General features: G+C 41.4%; 1 protein-coding gene across 6 annotated transcripts in view; it reads right to left on the bottom strand.

The window, feature by feature from the left end:
• Positions 1-25259, bottom strand: part of SENP5 (SUMO specific peptidase 5) — a 66795-nt gene that overhangs the window by 5843 nt on the left and 35693 nt on the right. The window contains exons 7-8 of one of the 6 annotated variants that reach the window (NM_152699.5): positions 5321-5458; positions 993-1076 (exon numbers count right to left, since the gene is read on the bottom strand). The exons of 1 other annotated variant lie outside the window; for it this stretch is intronic. In NM_152699.5, coding sequence (NP_689912.2) covers positions 993-1076; positions 5321-5458 — 222 coding nt within the window. Of the gene's footprint in view, positions 1-992; positions 1077-5320; positions 5548-21292; positions 23928-25259 lie in introns of those variants that run through there. 4 more of the 6 variants (XM_005269310.4, NM_001308045.2, XM_047447676.1 and 1 more) reach the window with 4 other exon arrangements.

The raw sequence follows: 25259 nt of genomic DNA, 5'->3' as shown, positions 1-25259 counted from the left end.
TGCTCAAAGCGGTAATACAGAAGATCCTGACTAAATTTAGAATACCCAGATTTTTTAGTTGGGTAAATTCAGGAAATTTACTAGTTCTGGTTTGAACTGGTATACTAGGTTATTCAAAACACAAAACTTAAGCTTAATTTTAAAATTTAGCATTTGGTTCGGTTCAAGGGTGAACTAATAAATCTTGTCTCTTTGGGTTTGGGTTAAAGGTTTGTTTCAAGATCCTGCCTATAACATCCTGTCAATGATCCAGACAGACCTGTGTTCAAGGACCTGACTCTGTATCAATAGTTTTGATGTCCTTTGGGGAAAATCACACCTGGGCTTCAGTTTTCTCATTTACAAAATAAAGACGATGCTTATCCCTAAATGACCTGCCTACCTCACAGGTTATAAGGATCAAATGAGATCCAATACACAAAAACACTGGAAACAACACAGCCCACCATCAATGAAGACACTGGTATTTACGACAGGAATGAGCGGCTGTGCCTGGGCACTCTGCCCCACAGTTTGAATGTCATGGGCCAAGCATGGTGCTGCATCCAGACAGTGGTGGGACTGAAGCGCTTGGGCTACTATCTTCCCCACATGCCTGCCAAGTAGCTCAATGCACTTTCTCCCCCTCAGTGGATCCAAATAGTCATTTCAGCATTTCTCTGGGTCTATATGGGTCATCTGGAAATAAGAGCCATGATGCAAGAGGCAAGTGCCACCCAAAAAAGATTTTTTTTTTCCCCAGAAGAGCAAACACATCATTAGCAACTTCCTCAGGGAGGAAATGACTGAAGTGATTTGCTCCCGGGAAGCACTGGGCAACTGAGCAGCGATGATGAATAGTCAACTGAAGTTCATTCTCAGCTGCCTCCCTGGAGCCTCCAGGCTCTCCTTGGTATCTCTGTCACTAGTCTTCAAATGCTCTTAAAGGCACCCACCCTTAGATAATTCCATCCCCTGGACATGCCTGGGTTTCATTGTTATCACATACTTACCTTCGTAACAGCAGTCTGCCAACCCTGAAGAAATTCAGGTCTATTTTTTTCTCTGGCTTCAGTCAGCAAATACTTTCTTATATTCTGGTTAAAAAGAAACCACAACACAGATGCTGTGTTCCATCAGTTGGTGAAAAATGGAACATGCCCATAGCAGACAGAAGGAAAGGAGGAGGCTGTGGCCCCATAACTGGGCAGAATATGCATTAAGAAGCTGGAACAATTTTTTTTTTTTTTTTTTTTAAAGAGAGGATCTTGCTCTGTCACCCAGGCTGGAGTACAATGGCGTGATCATAGCTCACTGCAGCCTTGAACTCCTAGGCTTCAGAGATCCTCCTACCTCAGCCTTCCAAGTAGCTGGGACTATAGGTGTACACCACCGCTCCCGGCTAAAGCCGGGACTTTATTTCAGACTCTTCATTTCATATTGTTAAGGGGGAGTCAGACCTTCTGTATTCAAGGTATGCATCAAGACTGTGGACGCTGGCATTTGTGTAATCAGAACGTTTTATGAGATGGTTAGCCAGCCCTTCCCAGCAGTAAGTCAGCTTGCTGCATTTGAAACTTACATACTGGCAAGTCAAAAAGAAAGTCTTCATCATTGCCCATGCTCAACAGAGGAAAGGAACCCATGGCAGACATCATTAATAACTAAAACTAAATGAAAAATATTCCAGCCTTAGATATTCTGATACACTCCTTATTTTTGAGGGCTGCAGAAAAGGTTAACATTCAGCTTCTGGAAAGTAATACTAAAATTCCTTCTGAATACTAAATATGCTCAAGTCCACTGTTGAACTATCTACCAAGATGAAGCCTGCTGGAGTTTCAAAATGTCCCCAGTGCTCTCAACCTCTGTGCGTCTCTCTCCACATCAAGAGTGAAGTCAGAGGTTATGTGAATAACCCACCCCACCCCCCAACAAAAGTGGACCAGGGCCAGACGCGGTGGCTCACACCTGTAATCCCAGCACTTTGGGTGGCTGAGGCAGGTGGATCACATGAGGTGAGGTCAGGAGTTCAAGATCAGCCTGACCAACATGGTGAAACCCCATTTCTACTAAAAATACAAAAATTAGCCAGGTGTGGTGGTGCACACCTGTAATCCCAGCTACTCCAGAGGCTGAGACATGAGAATCGCTTGAACCCAGGAGGCGGAGGTTGCCATGAGCCAAGACTGGGCCACTGCACTCCAACCCAGGGGACAGAGTGAGACTCTGACTCAAAAAAAAAAAAAAAAAGGTGGACTGGAAGCCACCTCTTCAGAAGAAAAAACATGATGAAAGCAAATACTTAATATCCAACAAAGTATGACAGCATGTTGCACTGCTCCCTCTAAAGAAGTAACTTCAAGTTCTCAGAATAAGCAGTATATATAAATTCTTTTTTTTTTTTTTTTGAGACGGAGTCTTGCTCTGTTACCCAGGCTAGAGTGTAGTGGTGCGATCTCGGCTCGCTGCAACCTCCACCTCCCAGGTTCAAGCGATTCTCCTGCCTCAGCCTCCCGAGTAGCTGGGACTACAGGCGTGCACCACCATGCCCAGCTAATTTTTGTATTTTTAATAGAGACGGGGTTTCACCATGTTGGCCAGGCTGGTCTCTATCTCTTGACCTTCTGATCCGCCCGCCTCAGCCTCCCAAAGTGCTGGGATCACAGGCGTGAGCCACCCTGCCCGGCCAGTATATGTACATTCTTAAGTAAAATACAGGCAAAAAGGATTTGTCCTTAAAAATGGTCACCGGCACTCAAAATGTACTGAGCATCTCTAAGGGTTCAAGTGCTGGGGACACTAGTGAATAAAGCTCTTGTAGTCTCTGCTGTCATGGAATCTACACATTTATGTGGTGACTGTTTAAAACACTTTTTGTCAATTCTTTGGAAATACAGGCCCCTTAGTTAAGAGCCACTTCTACAACCCCTACATCCTCTTAAAACTAAAAACAGCTTGACCCCACCTGGCCAGATGACTGAACTGTATTTGGCTCTAAATGACTTCTAGCTATCACCTAAAAGGAGTCTGTTCTTAGGGTCTTTTTGCAAATGTGCAAAATTATTAGGCCAATTGTAATTTTGCTGAAAAGGTAAGAACTCTGCAGGAGGGCTTGGGCAAAAATTCAGAAGATGAATTTTTATTACTGTGCAGAACCAGGCCCTAATGATTCAAAATCGACTTAAACCCAACTGCATGTTTTACAAACAAAATCCTGTTTAACCATCATTCACTCCATGAAGGCGAATGTTTCTCTGGCCCCTACCTGACTCCCTAGCATCAGTGCCTGGCACAAAGCAAGAGGCACAGTAAATAGTTCCTACTTGAAACAGTTTTCCCAACACCTCTGCTCTCCTCTGCCTGTCAGAATCTGAGTCTTAAAGGCACTGATATGGCTGCACTTTTGGTTATACCTTTGCAGGTCTGTCTAGGAAAGAGACAATATAGACAGGCTCTGGCAGGTATGGGAATATGTTGGTTGAGAGAAAGGCAAGGAATTAGGGGAAGGGAACTGGAAAAGACGCTCACATCTGGTATTGTGAGAACTCTGGGCCCACGAGGCTTCTTGTTTTTGGGGTATTTTTTTTCCTGGATTTCTTGGAAATGAAAATGTGGATTTCGAAAACTTGATTTTCCTCATAGTTTGCATTATACTTAATTTTTAAATTAAATGTTAATTAAACAAATAATACAAGAAAATATTCTCCTTGTAAAAAAAAAAACGCAAAATGAGGCCAAATCCTCTTTAACTATTAGTCCTGCTTTTCTACACTTACCCAAAGGTAATAATCATTGATATAAAAAATGGTAAGGTCCCACCTTTTTACTTACAAATATGTATGTATATATGTGTCTACACATACACCTGCATGTATTTGTGTACTATACCGTATCATTCCACAATTGGCTTTTTAAAGCTCTATGCCTTGGACATCTTTCCATTTGAGGACTTGAAGGTCTACTATATTCAATTTAACTACTATGGTCAGTTTAATAGTATGGGTATACCGTACCATAGTGTATTTAGCTATTCTCTTGCTAGAGCTAAATTTGGGTTGTTTTATTTTGCACTATTATAAATAATGCTGCCATGAACATCCTCGCACATGCCTCATTCTTGTGTGCATATACAAGCATTTTTATGCAGTAGATAACAAGAAATGGAACTGATATGCAACAGAATTTGTATCTTTTTAATTTACAAAGCACTTAGAACTGATGAGAACTGCAACTATCCCCAAGCGGCTGTATCAATTTATACACTCTAACCAGAAAATATGAGAATGCCTATTTCCTTACACTTACATAGACACTTGAATAGCATCACTTTTTCTAACATAATGGGCAAAAAATTTAACTGATGTAGTTTTCATTTGCATTTCTATAATTTCTGGTAAGGCTGAACACCTCTCTGTGTTTTTAAATGGTCATTTGCATTTTTCCTAAAATTTACTAAATTAGCCTTTGTCCATTTCTATTATGTCCTTTTATCCTCCCCTTATTCATTTGTAGGAGTTTTCCATGTATTCTGGATAGTTATTGTCTGTTATTTGCATCATACATATTTTCTCCAAGTCTGTTGCTTGTCCTTTAACTTTATGATATACAGAAGTTTTAAATTATTAGGTGGTTAAATTTATCCAATTGTTCCTTATGTCTTTTCTTTGGTTCCATGTTAAGAAGTCCTTCCCCACTCTGTGAACATAACATTTTCCATATTTCATTCAAATACTTTTACAGTTTTGTACAGATTTCTTTTAAGTACTTAAAGCTTTAGGAGTTTTCATAATAAAGAATTTCCACATTTCTTCCTAGGGCATATTCCTGGGTTATTTATGTTTTGTTTCTTTTATAAATGGAATCTTATTCCCAGTTACATTTTCTTACTGGTTCTTGGTAGTGCAGGAAAATCCGGAAACCTACTCATTTTTCTTGATTTTGTATCCCACCATCTGTTTATTAGCTGAACACTAATATTTTGTCAATTGATTCCATTAGGTTATAGTTTATTCTACAGGAGTTATTTTGCAGATACAGGCCAATTTTAGCTCTAAGATGATCAAAGAAAAACAATTTCTAACCACATTCAAGATGTAGTTTTAAGGGAAAAGCAGAGAAAATCCAAGTGGAGTATCTCAGAGGGGGATCTGGATCCTAGACAGATCCTCTCCTCAGCCAGAGATTCCTCTTCTAGTCCTTTTCTCAGCTAACACTTTGGAGGATTTTCATGACATAAACTGTTCCTATATGGTTTTGACTGCTGCTGTTCTATCTAGAGCTAAGATGCTATTTGGCCAATTACAAAATAAATGAAAAAATAGGCAGTATATTAACTTACCTCTACACAAAACTTAAAATGAATGCCTTGGGAATCATAAAATGAAATAATTCGATTAGAGAGTGTCACAGTAATGAGAGACCAGTGGACTTCCAGGTGAATAGGAATCAACAGAAGACTCTTTTTAAACAAATCCACCTGATCAAGAAAAGAGAAAGAAATGCAGCCATCACCACAGGCTATCCAAACCACCAAAAACCAGCAGCTTCCATTTGCTGACCTTTGACCTGCACAAGGGCAAAAAAGTAGGAAGCAATGAACCAGAATTTGAACCCAGGTCTTACTCTAAGCCCATGCTTGTAACTATTAAGCTATAATACACAACAATAATACAAAAATAAAGATATACAAAGTACAGTTTTCCAGTTAATCTACTAAACCTGTGTGTCAAGTGCCTGAAGACTTGGCTCCTTGTTTACCTCATTTTCTCATATACATATTTAACCTGGATTCAACTCTTGTTTAGAAAGGAATCATAGTATTAGAAAATGGTATAAGGGGCCAGGCACGGTGGCTCACACCTGTAATCCCAGTACATTGGGAGGCTGAGGCGGAAAAACTGCTTGAGCCCAGGAGTTTGAGACCAGCCTGGGCAACATAATGAGACTCTGTCTCTACAAAAAAATAAAAAATCAGGCCGGGCTCAGTGGCTCACGCCTGTAATCCCAGCACTTTGAGAGGCCAACAGATGGTTTGAGCTCAAGAGTTCAGGACCAGCCTGGGTGACATGGCGAAACACTGTATCTACAAAAAAATACAAAAACTAACCGGGCGTGGTGGTGTGCACTGGTAGTCGCAGTTACTTGGTAGGCTGAGGTTCAAAGGATGGCTTGAGCCTGGGAGGCGGAGGTTGCACTGAGCAGAGATTGCACCACTGCACTCCAGCCTGGGTGACAGAGCCAGACCTTGTCTCAAGAAAAATAAATAAATAAAAAATCAGCCAGGTGTGGTGGTGCATGCCTGCAGTCCCAGCTACTTGGGAGGCTGAAGCAGCAGGATCACTGAGCCCAGGAGGTCGAGGCTGCAGTGAGCCATGATCACACCTCTGCATTCCAGCCTGGGCGACGGAGTGAGACCCTGAAACTGCATCTACAGACATGGTGTAAGCAGCAGTTAAGATCATGGGCTCCGAAGCAAGTCTGCTCAAGTTAGACTCGTTCAACAGACATGATATAAGCAGCAGTTAAGATCATGGGCTCTGAAGCAAGTCTGCTCAAGTTCAAATTGTGGCTCTTCCACGTATTAGTCACATGACTGGTAATTTCCTTAGCTTCTTTGCACCTTGATTTCCGCAACTAATAAAATGGATAGAAAATAGTACCTACCTTATGAAGTTTTTAAGAGTAATAAAAGAATATGTGTAAAATGCATACAACTCTGTTTAGCACATTATAAGTAGCCAAATACCTTAGTTATTATTATGATTACTTGCTTGGGTCTCTCAAATGTCAAAATTGAGAAAAACATCTTTGATAATACCTTATGCATCCTTTACAATCCTAACACATATTTTATATCATAATATATATCCCTTTACAATCTAGAAATGCTTGCTATTCCACTCAAAATTCCAGTTGTAGAGTGGGTGATAAAGTAGTAAGTGCTCCACATACATTTGTAAAAGAGTGAATCAATTTCCCTTCTCAGGTATTTTTTAGCATAATTTGGTGATTACTTGGGTTAAAACATTTTAAACTACCTTATATTCTCTGAAACTAATTTCCCAAGATTTCCTTCTCGCTTTCTGATACTCAAATAGTGTCCTGCTCTAAATGAATCTTCTGTTAAGTCTTCATGACCTTGGAGCAAAATCACTTAAGCTTTTCAGTTTCTGCATCCATAAACCTGGGGGAGTGAGGTGGGTAGAAGGAAATAGTGAAAATAATAAACAATGTTCCTTTCCAGATTAAAAATTCTGAGTATCCTTTTTTTTTTAATTCCGAGTATCTAAAACAAGGAATCATATTTAGAATACAGTAGTAAATAAAACCAGATGTATATTCTTCTCAAAAAGTAATGTTTTCTACATTGTAAAACAGATTTTTGTATAAAAATTAGAAAATACAGAAAAAGATACACTTCACCTATCTTTCCAAATCATTTTCTTCTTCTAACACACTAACATAGACATACATAGAGCTTTATACAGGCTGAGTAACTCTAACCCAAAAACCTGAAATCCTCCAAAATCTGGAACTTTTTGAGTGCTGACATGATGCCACAGACTGTCCACAGGGGTGGCTGAGGTAGTGACATTTTTACTTTCTGATGGGTCAATGTACATAAACTGTTGCATATACAAAATTACTAAGAATATTGTAAATTACCTTTAGGGCATGCATCTAAGGTGAATATGAAACATAAGTGAATTCTGTGTTTAGACTTTGGTTCTACCCCCAAAATATCTCATTATATATATGCAAATATTACAAAATCTGAAAGAGTCCAAAGTTCAAAACACTTCTAGTCCCAAGCATTTTGAATAAGGGATATTTAACCTGTACACATAATTAAGAACAATGTGCATGACAGATTGTATCACTGACCCCAATTATTTGTTGCCCTCCCTGTGAGAAGATTATACAGACTTGCCCATTGCCATGTGACTTCTCTGCCCTCCCAAAGAGAGAAGTGTAGTCCTGTCATGTGATTTGCTTTAATCAAAAGGATGTAATAAGCAGAAGTGAAGTTATGTCACGATCAGATTGAAACTTTCAGAGCTACCATGTGAGACTGCCATGTCTCAGGAAAGGTGCTGCTCCTTCAGTTTGGGTCCCATTCGCAGAATAAAGAAGAAAAACCATAGGTTCATCTGCTTAGATGCAGGAAAAGCATTTGATGAAATTCAGTATTTACTTATGATTAAAAACTCTCAGGAAAATAGGAATAATAGGAAAGCCTACAGCTGACACCATACACAGTAGTGAAAAACTGAATGCTTTCCAAGACTGAGAACTAGGGAAAGATGTCCTCTCTCATTACTTCTATTCAACACTGCAGCCAGTCTTAGCCAGTGCAGTAAGGCAAGGAAAAAATGGCATACAGATTGCAAAGAATGAAATAAAACTGTCACTACTTATAAGTGTCTATGAAAATTTCACAGAATATACAAAAAAGCTCCTAGAAGTAATAAATGACTTTGGTAAGGTCAGAGGATACAAAGTCAAAATACAGAAATCAACTGTATTTCTATATACAAACAACTAGAAGATAATATTTTTTAAAATTCTGTTCATAGCCAATTCAGAAACATGAAATACTTAAGGATACATTTAACAAGAATGTATATGTAAGATGTATACACTAAAAATTACAGATAATACTGAGAAAAAATAAATGCAAAGATATATACCATGTTCATACACTGAAAGGCTTACTATTATTAGATGTCCATTCTCCCCAAACTAATGTATAAACACAATCCCAATCATTCCAGCATGCTTACTAAACAACAGAGTTTGACAAACTAATTTTAAAGTTTATATGAAAATGCAAAGGACTCAGAATTGCCAAAACAATCTGGAAAAAGGATAAAGCTGCCAGACTCACAGTGATTTTGAGACACACTATGAAGACACAGTAATACTGTGTAGTGTTAACATAAAAAATAGGCATCATTGTAAGAGAACAGAAAATCCAGAAGTAGACCTACACATATATGATCAGTTGACTTTCTATAATGGTGCCAAAGCAATGAAATTGGAAAAGAAAAGTATACTAAGAAAAAAAAAATCTTGATCCCTCCCTTTTTTTTTTTTGAGATGAAGTTTTGCTCTTGTTGCCCAGGCTGCAGTGGAATGGCACAATCTCGGCTCACTGCAACCTCCGCCTCCTGGGTTCAAGTGATTTTCCTGCCTCAGCCTCCCAAGTAGCTGGTATTGCAGGCATGCTCCACCACACCCAGCTAATTTTGTATTTTTAGTAGACACGGGGTTTCTCCATGTTGGTCAGGCTGGTCTTGAACACCTGACCTCATGTGATCAGCCCACCTCAGCCTCCCAAAATGCTGGGATTACAGGCGTGAGCCACCGCCCCTGGTTGGTCACGTTTCTTTGTTCATTTGTTTGTTTTGAGATGGAGTCTCACTCTGTAGCCCAGGCTGGAGTGCAGTGGTGCAATCTTGGCTCAACAAAACCTCCGCTGCTAGGGTTCAAGCGATTCTTCTGCCTGAGCCTCCCGAATAGCTAGGACTACAGGTGCCTGCCACCACCCCTGGCTAATTTTTGTATTTTTAGTGGAGACAGGGCTTCACCAAGTTGGCCAGGCCAGTCTTGAACTCCTGACCTCAAGTAATCCACCCACTTCAGTCTCCCAAACTAATAGGATTACAGGCGTAAGCCACTGCACCTGGCCCTTTGTTGATTTTGAGTCCAATGATGAAAGTGGGGTGTTGAGGTCTCTAGCTATTATTGCATTGTTGAGTCTCTCTCTCTCTCTGGCTCTTTTCCGTTTTTGTTTGTTTTCTTGCCTTCTTTGTGATGGTATCTCTCTTTAGCTCAGATAATATTTGCTTTATATATCTGGGTGCTCCAGTGTTAGGTATGTGTGGAGACAGATAGATAGATAGATAGATACACACATACATAATTTTTATATTGTCTGACCTTTTTATCATTATATAATGACCTTGTCTCTTTTTAATAATTTTTATCTTAATACCTATTTTACCTGACATTAAGTATAGCTACTCTGCTCTCTTTTTTTGGCTTCTGTTTGTATGGAAAAAGAGGAGTTCTGGTTTTTCCAGCCCTTTCAGTCTGTGTATATCTTTATAGGTGAAGTGAGTTTCTTGTAGGCAGCATATGGTTGGGTCTTATTTTTCTTTCCATTCAGCCAATCTGTGTCTTTTGATTAGAGACTTTAGTCCATTTACATTCAATGTTATTATTGATACGTAAGGACTTCCTACTGCCATTTTGTTATCTGCTTTCTACTTGTTTTATGGTCTTCCCTTCCTCCCTTCCTTCTTTGCGTTGAAATGATTTTCTCTGGTAGTATAGTTTTATTTCTTGCTTTTCATTTTTTGTATACCTGTTGTAGATTTTTTGTTTTGAGGTTACATGGTTACCTCAAAATAAAAGCCTCATGAGGCTTGCAAACAACATCTTATAAACAACTATTTCAAACTGATAACTCGTTACCAAAAAAAAAAAAAGTCAAGAGAAAACGAAAACAGAACTCTACAGTTTAACTCCAAACTCCATCCCCCTCTTTGACTTTTTGTTGTTTCTACTTTTTTTTTTTTTTGACAGAGTCTCGTTCTGTCGCCCAGCTTGGAGTGCAGTGGCACAATCAGGGCTCACTGCAAGCTCCGCCTCCCAGGTTCACGCCATTCTCCTGCCTCAGCCTCCCGAGTAGCTGGGACTACAGGCGCCCGCCACCGCGCCCGGCTAATTTTTTTGTATTTTTAGTAGAGACAGAGTTTCACCGTGTTAGCCAGGATGGTCTCGATCTGACCTCGTGATCCACCTGCCTCAGCCTCCCAAAGTGCTGGGATTACAGGTGTGAGCCACCGTGCCCGGCCATTGTTTCTATTTATCTTTTTATATTATCGCTTAAAAAATTGTAATTATAATTTTTGATAGGCTTTGTAGTCTTCCTACTCAAAATATGGCTTACACACGGCAATTAGTGTGTCAAGCCATTCTGTTCTTGTGTACTTACTGATACCAGTGAGTTTTGTACCTTTGGATGATTTCTTATTGCTCACTCATGTCCTTTCCTTTCAGATTAAAGAGCTCCCCTTAGCATCTCTTATAGGTCAGGTCTGATATTGACAAAATCCCTCACAGCTTTTGTTTGTCTGGGAAAGTATTTCTCCTTCATGTTTGAAGTATATTTTCGCTGGGTATGATATTCTAGGATAAACGTTTTTTTCCTTCAGCACTTGACATGCCACTCCCTCCTGGCCTGTAAAGTTTCCACTGAGATGTCTGCTGCCAGATGTATTGGAGCTCCTTCATATGTTATTTGTTCCTTTTCTCTTGCTGCTTTTAGGATTCTTTCTTTATCCTCAACCTTTGGGAGTTTGACTATTAAATGCCTTGAGGTAATCTTATTTGTGTTAAATCTTCTTGGTGTTCTAGGACCTTCTTGTACCTGAATATTGATACCTTTCTCTGGGTTTGGAAAGTTCTGTTACTATCTGAGTGAAGTTTCTACCCTCTCTCTCTCTCTCTACCTCCTCTTTAAGACCAATAACTCTCAGATTTGCCCTGTGACTTCTAGATCTTGTAGGTTTGCTTCATTCTTTTTTCTCCTCTGTGTATTTACATACAGTCTGTCCTTAAGCTTACTAATTCTTTCTTCTGCTTGATCAATTTTGCTGTTGAGAGATTCTGATGTATTTTCTAGTTTGTCAACTGAATTTTTCAGCTCCAGAATTTGTTTTTTGTGTTTTGTTGGGGTTTGTTTGTTTTGAGACAGAGTTCGCTCTGTTGCCCAGGCTGGAGTGCAATGGCATGATCTTGGCTCACTGCAATTTCTGTCTCCCAGGTTCAAGCGATTCTTGTGCTTCAGCGTTCTGCATACCTGGGATTACAGACCTGTGTCACCACGCCCGGCTAATTTTTGTATTTTTAGTAGAGATGGGGGTTTGCCATGTTGGCCAGGTTTGTCTCAAACTCCTTGCCTCAAGTGATCTACCCACCTAGGCCTCCCAAAATGCTGGGATTACAGGTGTGAGTCGCTGTGCCCAGCCTCTGCTTATTTTTTTAAAAAAATATGTCAATCTCAGCTGGGTGTGGTCACTCAAATCCCAGCACTTTGGGAGGCTGAGGCAGGCAGATCACAAGGTCAGGAGTTTGAGACCAGTCCGACCATCATGGTGAAACCCTGTCTCTACTAAAAATACAAAATTAGCCAGGCATAGTGGCACATGCCTGTAATCCCAGTTACTCAGGAGGCTGAGGCAGGAGAATTGCCTGAACCTGGGAGATGGAGGTTGCAGTGAGCTGAGATCACACCATTGCACTCCAGCCTGGGCAACAAGAGGGAAACTCTGTCTTTAAAAAAAAAAAAAAAAGTCAATCTCTTTCTTAAATTTCTCTGACAGGATTCTAAATTCCTTCTCTGTGTTATTTTGAAATTCTCTGGGCTTCCTCAAAACAGCTATTTTCAATTGTCTGAGAGGTTGCATATCTCTGTCACTATGAGATTGGTCATTGGTGCCTTTAGTTTGGTGAAGTCATGTTTTCCTGCATGTTTTTTTTGTTTGTTTGTTTTTTGAGACAGTTTCATTCTTGTCACCCAGGCTTGAGTGCAATGGCATGATCTCGGCTCACTGCAACCTCCACCTCTCAAGTTTAAGCAATTCTCCTGCCTCAGCCTCCTGAATAGCTGGGATTACAGGTGCCCGCCACCACGCCCAGCTAATTTTTTTGTATTTTTAGTAGAGAAAGGGTTTTACCATGTTGGCCAGGCTGGTCTGGAACTCCTGACCTCAGGTGATCTGCCTGCCTCAGCCTCCCAAAGTGCTGAGATTATAGGCGTGACCCAAGGTGCCCAGCCTTCCTGGATGTTCTTGATGCCTGCAGGTGTTCATCGACGTCTGGGCAATCAAGAGTTAGGTATTTATTCTATCTTCACAGTTTGGACTTGTTTTTATCTGTCCTTCTTGAGAAGGCTTTCCAGGTATTCAAAGGAAATTGAGTGTTGTAATCTAAGTCTTTGGTCACTGCAGCCGTATCTGCACTACAGGGAGCCCCAAGCCCAGTAAGACTGTGACCCTTGCAGGCTCCTGGAGGTCTCACCTTGGTGTGCTTGGGTAAGATGGAGAGGAATTTCCTAGATTATTAGGCGATCTCTCATTCTCTTCCTTCACTTTCCCCCAAATAGTCTCTCTCTCCATGATGGGCTGCCTGGAGTTGAGGGAGGGGTGGTGCAAGCACTCCCATGGCTACCACAGCTGGCACTGGACTGGGTCACAACTGAACACAGCATAGTACTGGGTCTTGCCCAAGGCATGTGGCAACTCCTGCCTGGCGACCGCTGATATTTATTCAAGGTCCAAGGGCTCTTTACTCAGTAGGTGGTAAATTCTTCCAAGACTGGGCCCTTCCCTTCAGGGCCAGTAGGTTCCCTTCTGGCCCAGGGTGGGGCTATAAATACCATCCAGGGTCTAGGGCCTAGAATTGGAGGCTTCAGGAATGACTGGTGCTTTATTTTACTGTGGCTCAGCTAGTGCTCAAGTTGCAAGACACAATATTCTGTACTCTTTCCTCTCCGTTCCCCAAATGGAAAGAGCACCTCCCCAAGCTCCACTGCTTCAAGTTGTGGGAGTGGCAATCCCTTCACTACCAGAGCTGGTGTCTGAGTTGTGTGCACCCCAAATCCACAGGCTCTGACCCCAGCACAGTGCCAGGACGTGCCAAAAGAATGCAGTCCTGTGGCCTGACTGCCTTTCAAATTTATTCAGGACCCAAGTCCACTTTACTCAACTGGTGGTGGAACTAGCTGCAACTCAGGTTCCTACCGCTGGGGCGGAAGATTCTCCTCTGGCTGGGGCTAGTCTGAATGCTCCCTCCATGGGTGCTGGCAGAATTCTGCCCTGTGTTGTATTCCATTGTGATATGACAGCACTGGAGTTTCAATGCAAAGTCCCACAATCATTTTGCTCTTCCTCCTGCAAGCACACAGATTCTATCTCCGCACACTGCCAGGGGATAGGGAAGGGGTGGTGTAGGCAATGCAAGAGTGTCTTTCCTACCCTCTTCGATGCCTCTTTCCTTGAGATGCTGTTAAAACCAGGTACTAGGATCACTCACCTGATTTCTGGTTCTTATGAAGGTATTTTGTTGCATGGATAGTTGTTCAATTTGGTGTTCCTGCAGGAGGACGATGGTTGAAGGGTACTATTCTGCCATCTTGCTCCTCCTCCTCTCAGCTTAACCAATTCTTATAAAACCCCTCCCCACACACATATGTATGTGTGTGTAGACATATATATATATATATATATATATATTTTTTTTTTTTTTTTTTTTTTTAAAGCAAACCTCTGGGCTCAAGTAATGCTCCTGCCTCAGCCTCCGGAGTAGCTGGAACTATAAGCACCTACCACTTTGCCTGGCTTTTTATTTTTTTGCATATACTTGTACAATTTTTTTGGAGGGAGACATCAATCACAATATTTTACCCCTACCTACTTTAGATGTTTTCTCCTATATAACCACAATCTCACTATCTCTGAACACACAAGATATTTAACATCAGTTTACTAATATCATCTAATGCATGAATGACCAAGTATGGCCCACTGCCAGTTTTTATTAAGTTTAATTGAAACACAGCCACACTCATTACTTGGGTATTATCTACATCTGCTTCTGTGCTGTAACAGGTCAGTAGATAAATCAAAGACCATAAGGTCTGCAAAATCCAAAGTATTTATTATCTGGCTCTTTCAGAAAAAGATCACTGACCCCTGAATATATTAGTCTATACTAAAATTTCCCCTAATTTACCCAAAATATTGCATCTCTTCCAGTCCAGGATCCAATCAAGATTAACTTACTGCATTTATCTGTCACTCAGTGTGGTTTTCATTTGCTTTTCTTTTACTGTGAAGTTATGCAACTTTTTATATGTTTAAGAGCCTTTCTTGGCCAGGCACAGTGGCTCATGCCTGTAATCCCAGCACTTTGGGAGGCTGAGGCAGGCAGATCACTTGAGGCCAGGAGTTCGAGACCAGCCTAGCCAATGTGGCAAAACCTGTCTCTACTAAAAATACAAAAATTAGCCAGGTGTGGTGGTGTGTACCTGTAATCCCAGCTACTTGGGAGGCTGAGGCAGGAGAATCGCTTGAACCCAGGAGGCAGAGGTTGCAGCAAGCCAAGATTGTGCCACTGCACTCCAGCCTGGGCAAAAGAGCAACACTCCATCAAAAAAAAAAAAAAAAAAAAAAGCCTTTCTTATAAACCTTTTCATCACTGAGTCTTCTACTGAGTTCAGGGTCTTACTAGTTTTTTTTGTTTTTTTTTTTTGAGATGGAGTCTCACTCTGTCACCCAGGCTGGAGTGCAGTGGCATGATCTCAGCTCACTGCAACCTCCGCCTCCTGGGTTTAAGAAATTCTCTGCCTCAGCCTCCCGAATAGCTGGGATTACAGGCGCACACCACCACACCCAGCTAATTTTCTTGGATTTTTAGTAGAAAAGAGGTTTCACTATCTTGGCCAGGCTGGTCTTGAACTCCTGACCCCATGATTCACCTGCCTCGGGCTCCCAAATGCCACCTTGCCCGGCTAATAAAAAATAATTTTCTTTGTGGCTAAGTACATGTTCAATTTTTACAAATATTCCTGAACCATAGCAATAAATGTATATTCTCTTAAGGAGCATAAACATCTATTAAATCAATTATATTGACTGTAATTTTTGTATATGTCTTTATTGTCTACTAGATTTATCCACTTATGAGAAAAGTCTGCCACTATCACTATTTTACCAAGGTCCTCTTGTTTCTGTTTTAATTGTATTACACATATTTAGCAACTGTGTGCTTTGGTGCATAAAGATTGGTCATTATATCTCCTTTATATTGAAATCTGATAATTACACAATTTGCTTCTCACCTTAAATTCTATTTCAACTGCTATTAATATGATTAATATTCCTTTCTGTTTTTGTTTCAATTTGTCTAGTACCTTTAAATTTCTACAATTTTCAAACAAATTATTATTTTTAGAGGCAAGGTCTGTCACCCAGGCTGGGGTACAGTGGTGTGACCACTGCTCACCGCAGTCTCAAACTCCTGGGCTCAAGCAATCCTCCCACCTCAGCCTCCGGAGTAGCAGAGACTACAGGCACACACCACCACGCCCAGCTGCCTAGTACCTTTTATTTTTTCTTTTAATGAAAACTTGAATTTTCAAAAAATTTTAAAGTTCCGGGATACATGTGCAGAACAGGCAGGTTTGTTACATAGGTATACATGTGCCGTGGTGGTTTGCTGCACTTATCAATCCGTCATCTAGTTTTGTTTTTTTCTTTTTAATTGAGACAGAGTCTTGCTCTGTCACCCAGGCTGGATTACAGGCATGAACCACCGCACCCCGCTGTCATCTAGGTCTTAAGCCCTGCATGCATTAGGTATTTGTCCTAATGCTCTCCCTCTCTTTGCCCCCAACCCCCTGACAGGCCCCGGTGTATGTTGTTCCCCTCCCTATGTCCATGTGTTCTTATTGTACAACTCCCACTTATGAGTGAGAACATGCAGTGTTTGGTTTTCTGTTCCTCTGTTAGTTTGCTGAGGATGATGGCTTCCAGCTTCATCCTTGTCCCTTCAAAGGACATGATCTCATTCTTTAAATGGCTGCATAGTATTCCATGGTGCGTATGTACCACATTCTCTTTATGTAGTCTATCACTGATAGGCATTTGGGTTGGTTCCATGTCTTTGCTATGAGTACTGCAATAAATATACACACGCATATGTCTCTATAGAGAATGATTTATATTCCTTTGGGTATATACCCAGTAATAGGACTGCTGGGTCAAATGATATTTCTGGTTCTAGATCCTTGAGGAATTGCCACTCTGTCTTCCACAATGGTTGAACTAACTTACGTTCCCACCAACAGTGTAAAAGCATTCCTATGTCTCCACAGCCTTGCCAGCTTCTATTGTTTCTTGACTTTTTAATAATTGTCATTTCTGACTCGCATGAGATGGTATCTCATTGTGGTTTTGATTTGCATTTCTCTAATGATCAGTGATTAGCTGTTTTTGTTTTGTTTTTTTTTGAGACGGAGTCTTGCTCTTGTTGCTAAGGCTGGAGTGCAATGGCACAATCTCAGCTCACGCAACCTCTGCCTCTCAGGTTCAAGCGATTCTCCTGCCTCAGCCTCCCGAGTAGCTGGGATTACAGGCCCCCACCACCACAACTGCCTCAGCTTCCCAAAGTGCTGGGATTACAGGCGTGAGCCACCGCGCCCAACTGATGAGGTTTTTTCATATGTTTTTTGGCTACATAAATGTCCTTTTTTTTTTTTTTTTGAGACAAAGTCTCACTCTGTCGCCCAGGCTGGAGTGCAGTGGCGCAATCTTGGCTCACTGCAACTTCCACTTCCCAGGTCAAGCAATTCTCCTGTCTCAGCCTCTCGAGTAGCTGAGACTACAGACATAAATGTCTTCTTTTGCGAAGTGTCTGTTCATATCCTTTGCCCACTTTCTGATGGTTTATTTTTCTTGTAAATCTGCTTAAGTTCCTTGTAGATTCTGGATATTAGATCTTTGTCAGGTGGGTAGACTGCAAAAATTTTATCCAATTCTATAGGTTGCCTGTTCACTCTGATGATAGTTTCTTTTGCTGAGCAGAAACTCTTTAGTTTAATTAGAATCCATGTTGGCTTTTGCTGCAATTGCTTTTGGTGTTTTTGTCATGAAGTCTTTGCCCACGCCTATGTCCTGAATGGTACTGCCTAGGTTTTCTTCTAGGGTTTTTACGATTTTGTGTTTTACAATTAAGTCTTTAATTCATCTTGAGTTAATTTTTGTATAAGGTGTAAGGAAGGGGTCCAGTTTCAGTTTTCTGCATATGGCTAGCCAGTTTTCCCAGCATCATTTATTAAATAGGGAATCCTTTCCCCATTGCTTTTGTCGGGTTTGTCAATGATGAGATGGTTGTGTATGTGTGGTGTTATTTCTGAGGTCTCTGTTCTGTTCCATTGGTCTATATGCCTGTTTTGGTACCAATACCACGTTGTTTTGGCTACTGTAGCCTTGTAGTATAGTTTGAAGTTAGGTATGTGATGCCTACAGCTTTGTTCTTTTTGCTTAGGATTGTCTTGGCTATACAGGCTCTTTTTTGTTTCCATATGAATTTTAAAGTAGTTTTTTCTAATTCTGTGAAGAATGCCAATGGTAGTTTGATGGGAATAGCATTAAATCTATTAATTACTTTGGGCAGCCAGGAGTGGTGGCTCACATCTATAATCCCAGCACTCTGGAAGGCCGAGGCAGGCGGATCACGAGGTCAGGACATCGAGACCATCCTGGCTAACACGGCGAAACCCTGTGTCTACTAAAAATACAAAAAATTAGCTGGGCATGGTGGTGCATGCCTGTAGTCCCACCTACTCGGGAGGCTGAGGCAGGAGAATTGCTTGAACCCGGGAAGTGGAGGTTGCAGTGAGCCACGATCATGCCACTGCATTCCAGCCTGGGCAATGGAGCGAGACTCCATCTCAAAAAAAAAAAAAAAAAAAAAAAAAAAAAGATTACTTTGGGCAGTATGGCCATTTTCAAGATACTGGTTCTTCCTATCCACGAGGATGGAATATTTTTCCATTTGTTTGTGTCCTCTCTTACTTCCTTGAGCAGTGGTTTGTAGTTCTCCTTGAAGAGGTCCTTCACATCCCTTATAAACTGTATTCCTAGGTATTTTATTCTCTTTGTAGCAATTGTGAATGGGGGTTCATTCATGATTTGGCTCTCTGCTTGTCCATTGCTGGCGTATAGGAATGCTTGTGATTTCTGCACATTGATTTTGTATCCTGAGACTTTGCTAAAGTTTCTTATCAACGTAAGGGGTTTTGGGGCTGAGACGATGGCATTTTCTAAATATAGAATCATGCCATCTGCAAGAGACAATTTGACTTCCTCTCTTTCTATCTGAATACCCTGTATTTCTTTCTCTTGCCTGATTGCCCTGGCCAGAACTTCCAATATTATGTTGAATAGAAGTGATGGGAGAGGGCATCCTTGTCTTGTGCCAGTTTTCAAAGGGAATGTTTCCAGCTTTTGCCCACTGATATTGGCTATGGGTTTGTCATAAATAGCTCTTATTATTGAGATATGTTTGATGAATACCTAGTTTATTGAGAGTTTTTAAATGAAGGGATGCTGAATTTTATCGAAGGTCTTTTCTGCATCTACTGAAATAATCATGTGGTTTTCGTCACTGGTTCTGTTTATATGACGGATTATGTTTACTGATTTGCATATGTTGAATCAGCCTTGCATCCCAGGGATGAAGCCAACTTGATCATGGTGGATAAGCTTTTTGATGTGCTGCTGGATTTGGTTTGCCAGCATTTTATTGAGAATTTTTCGCACCGATGTTCATCAGGGATATTGGCCTGAAATTTTCTTTTTTTGTGTCTCTGCCAGGTTTTGGTATCAGGATGATGCCGGCCTCATAAAATGAGCTAGGGAGGAGTTCCTCCTTTTCAATTGTTATGAAATAGTTTCAGAAGGAATGGTATCAGCTCCTCTTTGTACCTCTGGTAGAATTTGGCTGTGAATCCATCTGGTCCTGGGCTTTTTGTGGTTGGTAGGCTATTAATTACTGCCTCAATTTCAGAATTTGTTATTGGTCTATTCAGACATTCCACTTCTTCCTGATTTAGTCTTGGGAAGGTGTATGTGTCCAGGAATTTATCCGTTTCTTCTAGATTTTCTAGTTTATTTGTGTAGAGGTCTTTATAGTATTCTCTGATAGTAATTTGTATATTTCTGTGGGGTCAATGGTGATATCCCCTTTATCATTTTTTATTGTGTCTATTTGATTCTTCTCTCTTTTCTTCTTTAGTTTAGCTAGAGGTATTTTTTGTTAATTTTTTCAAAAAATCCAGCTCCTGGATTCACTGATTTTTTGAAGGGTTTTTTTGTGTTTCTATCTCCTTCAGTTCTGCTCTGATCTTAGTTATTTCTTGTTTTCTGCTAGCTTTTGGATTTGTTTGCTCTTGCTTCTCTATTTCCTTGTTGTTGTTTTTGTTTGTTTGTTTTGAGACAGAGTTTCACTCTTCTTGCCCAGGCTGGAGTGCAATGGCGCAATCTCAGCTCACCACAACCTCCACCTCCCGGGTTCAAGTGATTCTCCTACCTCGGCCTCCCAAGTAGCTGGGATTACAGGCATGTGCCACCACACCCAGCCAATTTTGTATTTTTAGTAGAGATGGGGTTTCTCCATGTTGGTCAGGCTCATCTCAAACTCCTGACCTCAGGTGATCTACCCGCCTCAGCCTCCCAAAGTGCTGGGATTACAGGCATGAGTCACCACGCCCAGCCGCTTCTCTAGTTCTTTTAATTGTGATGTCAGGATGTTGATCTGAGATCTTTCCAGCTTTTCGATGTGGGCATTTAGTGCTATAAACTTCCCTCTTAACACTGCTTTAGCTGTGTCCCAGAGATTCTGGTACATTGTCTCTCTGTTCTCATTGGTTTCAAAGAACTTCTTGATTTCTGCCTTAATTTCTTTATTTACCCAGGAGTTATTCAGGAACAGGTTGTTTAACTTTCCTGTAGTTGCCTTTTTTATTTGTTTTAAATTGAGACAAGGTCTCAGTCTGTCACCCAGGCAGGAGTGCAGTGGCGTGATCAGGGTTCACTGCAGCCTCGACCTCCCAGGCTCAAGTGATCCTCCCACCGCAGCCTTCTGGATAACTGGGACCACAGGCTGCCACCATGGCCAGCTAAGTTTTTTAAATTTTTTATAGAAACGGGGTCTCGCTTGGTTGCCTAGGCTGATTTGAAACTCTTGGGCTCAAGCAATCCTCCCATCTACAGTAATTTTAGGCCTCCCAAAGTGTTCAGACTGCAGATGTGAGACACAGCGCCCAGCCTCTTTAAATGTCACTTCATTTTCAACCTTTCTTTTTCATATTATTTTATGTATACTTCTTATATTCAGCATAAACCTGGGTTTTTTTTTTTTTTACTTAACCCAATCTCAGAGGATCTACAGCAAGCTTGTCCAGTCCACAGCCCACGGGCAGCATGCAGCCCAGGACGGCTCTGAATGCAGCCGAACACAAATTTGTAGACTTTCTTTTATGAGATCTTTTTTGCAATTTTTTTTGTTTTAGCTCATCAGCTATTGTTAGTGTTGGTGTATTTTATGTGTGGCCCAAGACAACTCTTCTTCTTCCAGTGAGGCTCAGGGAAGCCAAAAGATTGGACACCCCTGATCTAGAGGAAGGAATAATTTAGTTTATTATTTAATGAAACAACTCACATATTTGACTTTATTCTTTCACTCTCATGTTTATCATTCAGATACTTTTCCATGAATGTATATTTTTTGCCCACACTGCTTGTAATTTTTCCCACCCCAAATGGAATATAAGCATCTTCCATTATCTTTTTTTTTTTTTTTTGAGACGGAGTCTCTCTGTCGCCCAGGCTGGAGTGCAGTGGTGCGATCTTGGCTCACTGCAAGCTCCGCCTCCTGGGTTCAGTCTCCTGAGTAAGTGGGACTACAGGCATCCGTCACCACGCCCGGCTAATTTTTTTGTATTTTTAATAGAGATGGGGTTTCACCGTGTTAGCCAGGATGGTCTCTATCTCCTGACCTCGTGATCCGCCTGCCTCGGCCCCTCAAAGTGCTGGGATTACTGATGTGAGCCACTGTGCCCGGCCCATCGTTCATTATCTACACAGCTTTTCCTGCTTAAGTAGCATCCAATTATATGACTGTACATTTTAAATTTGAACAATCCTCTACTAGTTGTCCTACATTTTTCTAATGTAAATACAACCATAGGCCGTCCAGTCATACAAGTCACATACTTGGAAGTCATCTTTCACACTTCCTTGTCCTTCATCTCCATAACCAACTTATCACCAAATCCTGTTAATTTTACTTCCTACATCACACTCATCTTCCATCTCTCCTGCTATCATTCTACTTCAAAGTACCATGAATCTGAAATGGTCTCCTGTTCTGCCCACATCAACTTTGCTCCCATACCCATCCATCTTCTTCAGTACTGTTAGAACAAAGACTACAAAGTGGATAATGTCACTAAAAACCATTCAATGGTTTCCTATTACATTTAGGATAAAATCCAAAATACAAACCTCAAGGCCCTGATCTGTGGATCAGGTACACTTCATGCCACTGTCTTCTTAACTCTCTGCATTTCAGCTACACTAGCCTTTTCCCATTCTTCTACCAGATACTTATTCCTTCTGCCTATGTTTCACATACCCCTATTCTCCATTTACCTAGTTAACTTGTATTCATCTTTGATATTTCTGCTTAAATATTACTTCCTATGAGAAACATTCCCTTACCCTCAGGCTAGGTTAACCAAACCTGCATTCCAATACACTCCTGTAGTACTTTTCTTTTGTACCCACTAAACAAATAATTACACCACCAAAAATATAAATACAAACTGTGGTAGGTGCTGTCTCCACCACTAGACTGCAGACTTTGTGAAAGCAAAAACTGTCTCTAATATTGTTTTACTTACCTCTTTATTTCTTGATTTACTATAATGTCTGGCACTATGATACTGTAAAATAATAAATTTGGTCTTTGACCTCATTTCCTGGCATACAACTCCCTAAAGTCCTTGGAATTTCTGATGTCTTTTTTTCTTTTTTTTTAGAAAGTCTTGCTCTGTCACCCAGGCTGGAGTGCAGTGGTGCAATCTCGGCTCACAGCAACCTCCACCTCCTGGGTTCAAACGATTCTCCTGTCTCAGCCTCCCAAGTAGCTGGGACTACAGGCACATGCCACCATACCCAGCTAATTTTTGTATTTTCAGTAGAGACAGGGTTCCACCATGTTGGCCAGGCTGATCTTGAACTCCTGACCTCAAGTGATCTGCCTGCCTCAGACTTCCAAAGTGCTGGGATTACGGGGACATGACCCAGGCCCAAAGTGATGTCTTTTTGTATGTTGATGATTAACTGATGGCTGGCAGCTGCTAGGTGGCTTTAGGATAAGAGCAAGGCAGAATTAGAGGATTGTGACTTTCAGCCCCACCCAACCCCCCAACCACCAGGGAGAGAAGAGAAGCTAAAGGTTAACCAATGGTCACTGGTTTAGTCAATCGCCTATGTAATGAAGCCTCCATAAAAACTGACTGCACTGGGAGAGCTTCTGGATACTAAATATGTGGAGGTTCCTGGAGGGTGATGTGCCTGTGGAGGTCCTAGAGAATCCCTGTGCCCACTCCCCTACATCTCTTCCCATGCATCTCTTCATCTGAATCCTTTGTAATATCCTATATAATAAACTGCTAAATGTAGGTAAGAACTTCCCAGAATTCTGTGAACCGCTCCGGCAAATTAATCAAATTCAAGGAGGGCGGCATGGGAACCCTCACTTGAAGTCTGTTGGTCAGAAGTTTCAGAAGCCTGGACTTGCAACTGGTGTCTGAAGTGGGTGGGGGGCACTCTTGAGGCATGAGCCCTCAAACTATGGGACGTGGCACTGTCTCCAGGTAGACAGGTCGGAATTGAATTAGAGGGCATCCAGCCAGTGGTCGCTGCAGAACTGCTTGCTTGCTTGCTTTGGTCACAGAAGTCTTCTGTGCTGACTACTGTTGTGGTGTGACAGCAAAGGAAAAAAGTTTTTCCATATAGGCACATAACAGGTACTCAATAAATGTTTAATGCCGGGCACGGTGGCTTACCCTGTAATCCCAACACTTTGGGAGGCTGAGGCGGGCAGATCACCTGCCTGAGGTCAGGAGTTAGAGACCAGCCTGGCCAACATAGTGAAATCCCGTCTCTATTAAAAATACAAGAATTAGCCGGGTACGGTGGCAGGTGACTGTAATCCCAGCTGCACAGGAGGCTGAAGCAGGAGAATCGCTTGAACCCAGGAGGCAGAGGTTGCAGTGAGCGAAGATAGCGCCTGAAAGACTCCATCTCAAAAAATAAATCAATAAATAAATGATGAATGAATGAATCAATGTTGCTAAGGACAATCCTATCTATCATTTACACACACACTCATACACACTCCTTGCCTGCTGCTTAAACCCTCTAATGTCTTCATTTTTATTTTTTATTTAATTTTCTTTTGACATGGAGTCTCGCTCTGTCACCAAGGCTGGAGTGCAATAGTGCAATCTCGGCTCACTGCAACCTCCACCTCCCATGTTCAAGCGATTCTCCCACCTCAGCCTCCCAAGTAGCTGGGGTTACAGGCGCCCACCATCACAGCCCGGCTAATTTTTGCATTTTCAGTAGAGATAGGGTTTCGCCACATTGGCCAGGCTGATCTCAAACTCCTGACCTTCAGTGATCCGCCCACCTCAGCCTCCCAAAGTGCTGGGATTACAGGCGTGAGCCACCGCACCTGGCCTAAACTCTCTAATGTCTTCAAATTGCCCTCATGATCCAAACTCTTTACCAGGGCCTATATGGCGCCACATGACTTGATCCCTGCCTCCTTCCCTGATCTCATGTGTGTAATACTCCAATATACCAAACTCACTTCTGCTTCAGGGCCTTTAACATTCACTCTTCCATCTACTGGGAATGCTCCTCTGATCTTCACAGTTTTCAGTGAAATGGGATCTCTTCAAAGAGGCCTTTGCTGACAAGCCTATCTAAAAGAACTAGCCCATCTTCCTCCTGCTACCCTATCCCAGTTACCTTGTATTCTCATACTGTGTTCTGATGTTTCCATAGCAAATAGCACTTACCACTCTCTGACTAGAGTACATCATACATAGTAAATTAGGTACATGGTTTTTGGAAATTATTTCAATTACATGTATGTATAAGATTTTATGAATAGATTGTGATATAAAAGTTATTTCTCCTGATGGATCAGTTAACATTTTAAGAGACAGGATCTGGCTATGTTGCCCAAGCTGGCCTCAAATGCTTGTGCTCAAGTGATCCTCTGGTCTCAGCATCCCAAGTAGCTGGGACAACAGGTGCGAGGCACCGTGCCCAGCACCAGCAAAAAATTGTTGAAAGCTTCTGCTGTCTGCTGACAAGCCTACCAGATAACACCAAATGATGGCAGCTCCTTCTTTATCATCCCACTGTTCTACCACTATAATTGGGACCAGTAGGCAATTAAGGTCTTTCAAACAATAAGATTTAAAAGAAACAAATTTAAAACTTGTCACATTAAAAAGTCTGTTTCTACTTAACATCGTATTGGCATTAAAGTACTTATCCTTCCACACAAAGTGGTTTATCATCTGCGTTTCAAATTTGGAATAAAAAAGAAATAAAGAGAAT

The sequence above is a fragment of the Homo sapiens genome, chromosome 3 (assembly GCF_000001405.40).
Source record: "Homo sapiens chromosome 3, GRCh38.p14 Primary Assembly".
Lineage (NCBI taxonomy): Eukaryota > Metazoa > Chordata > Mammalia > Primates > Hominidae > Homo > Homo sapiens.
This window is presented reverse-complemented; position numbering and strand designations above follow the sequence as displayed.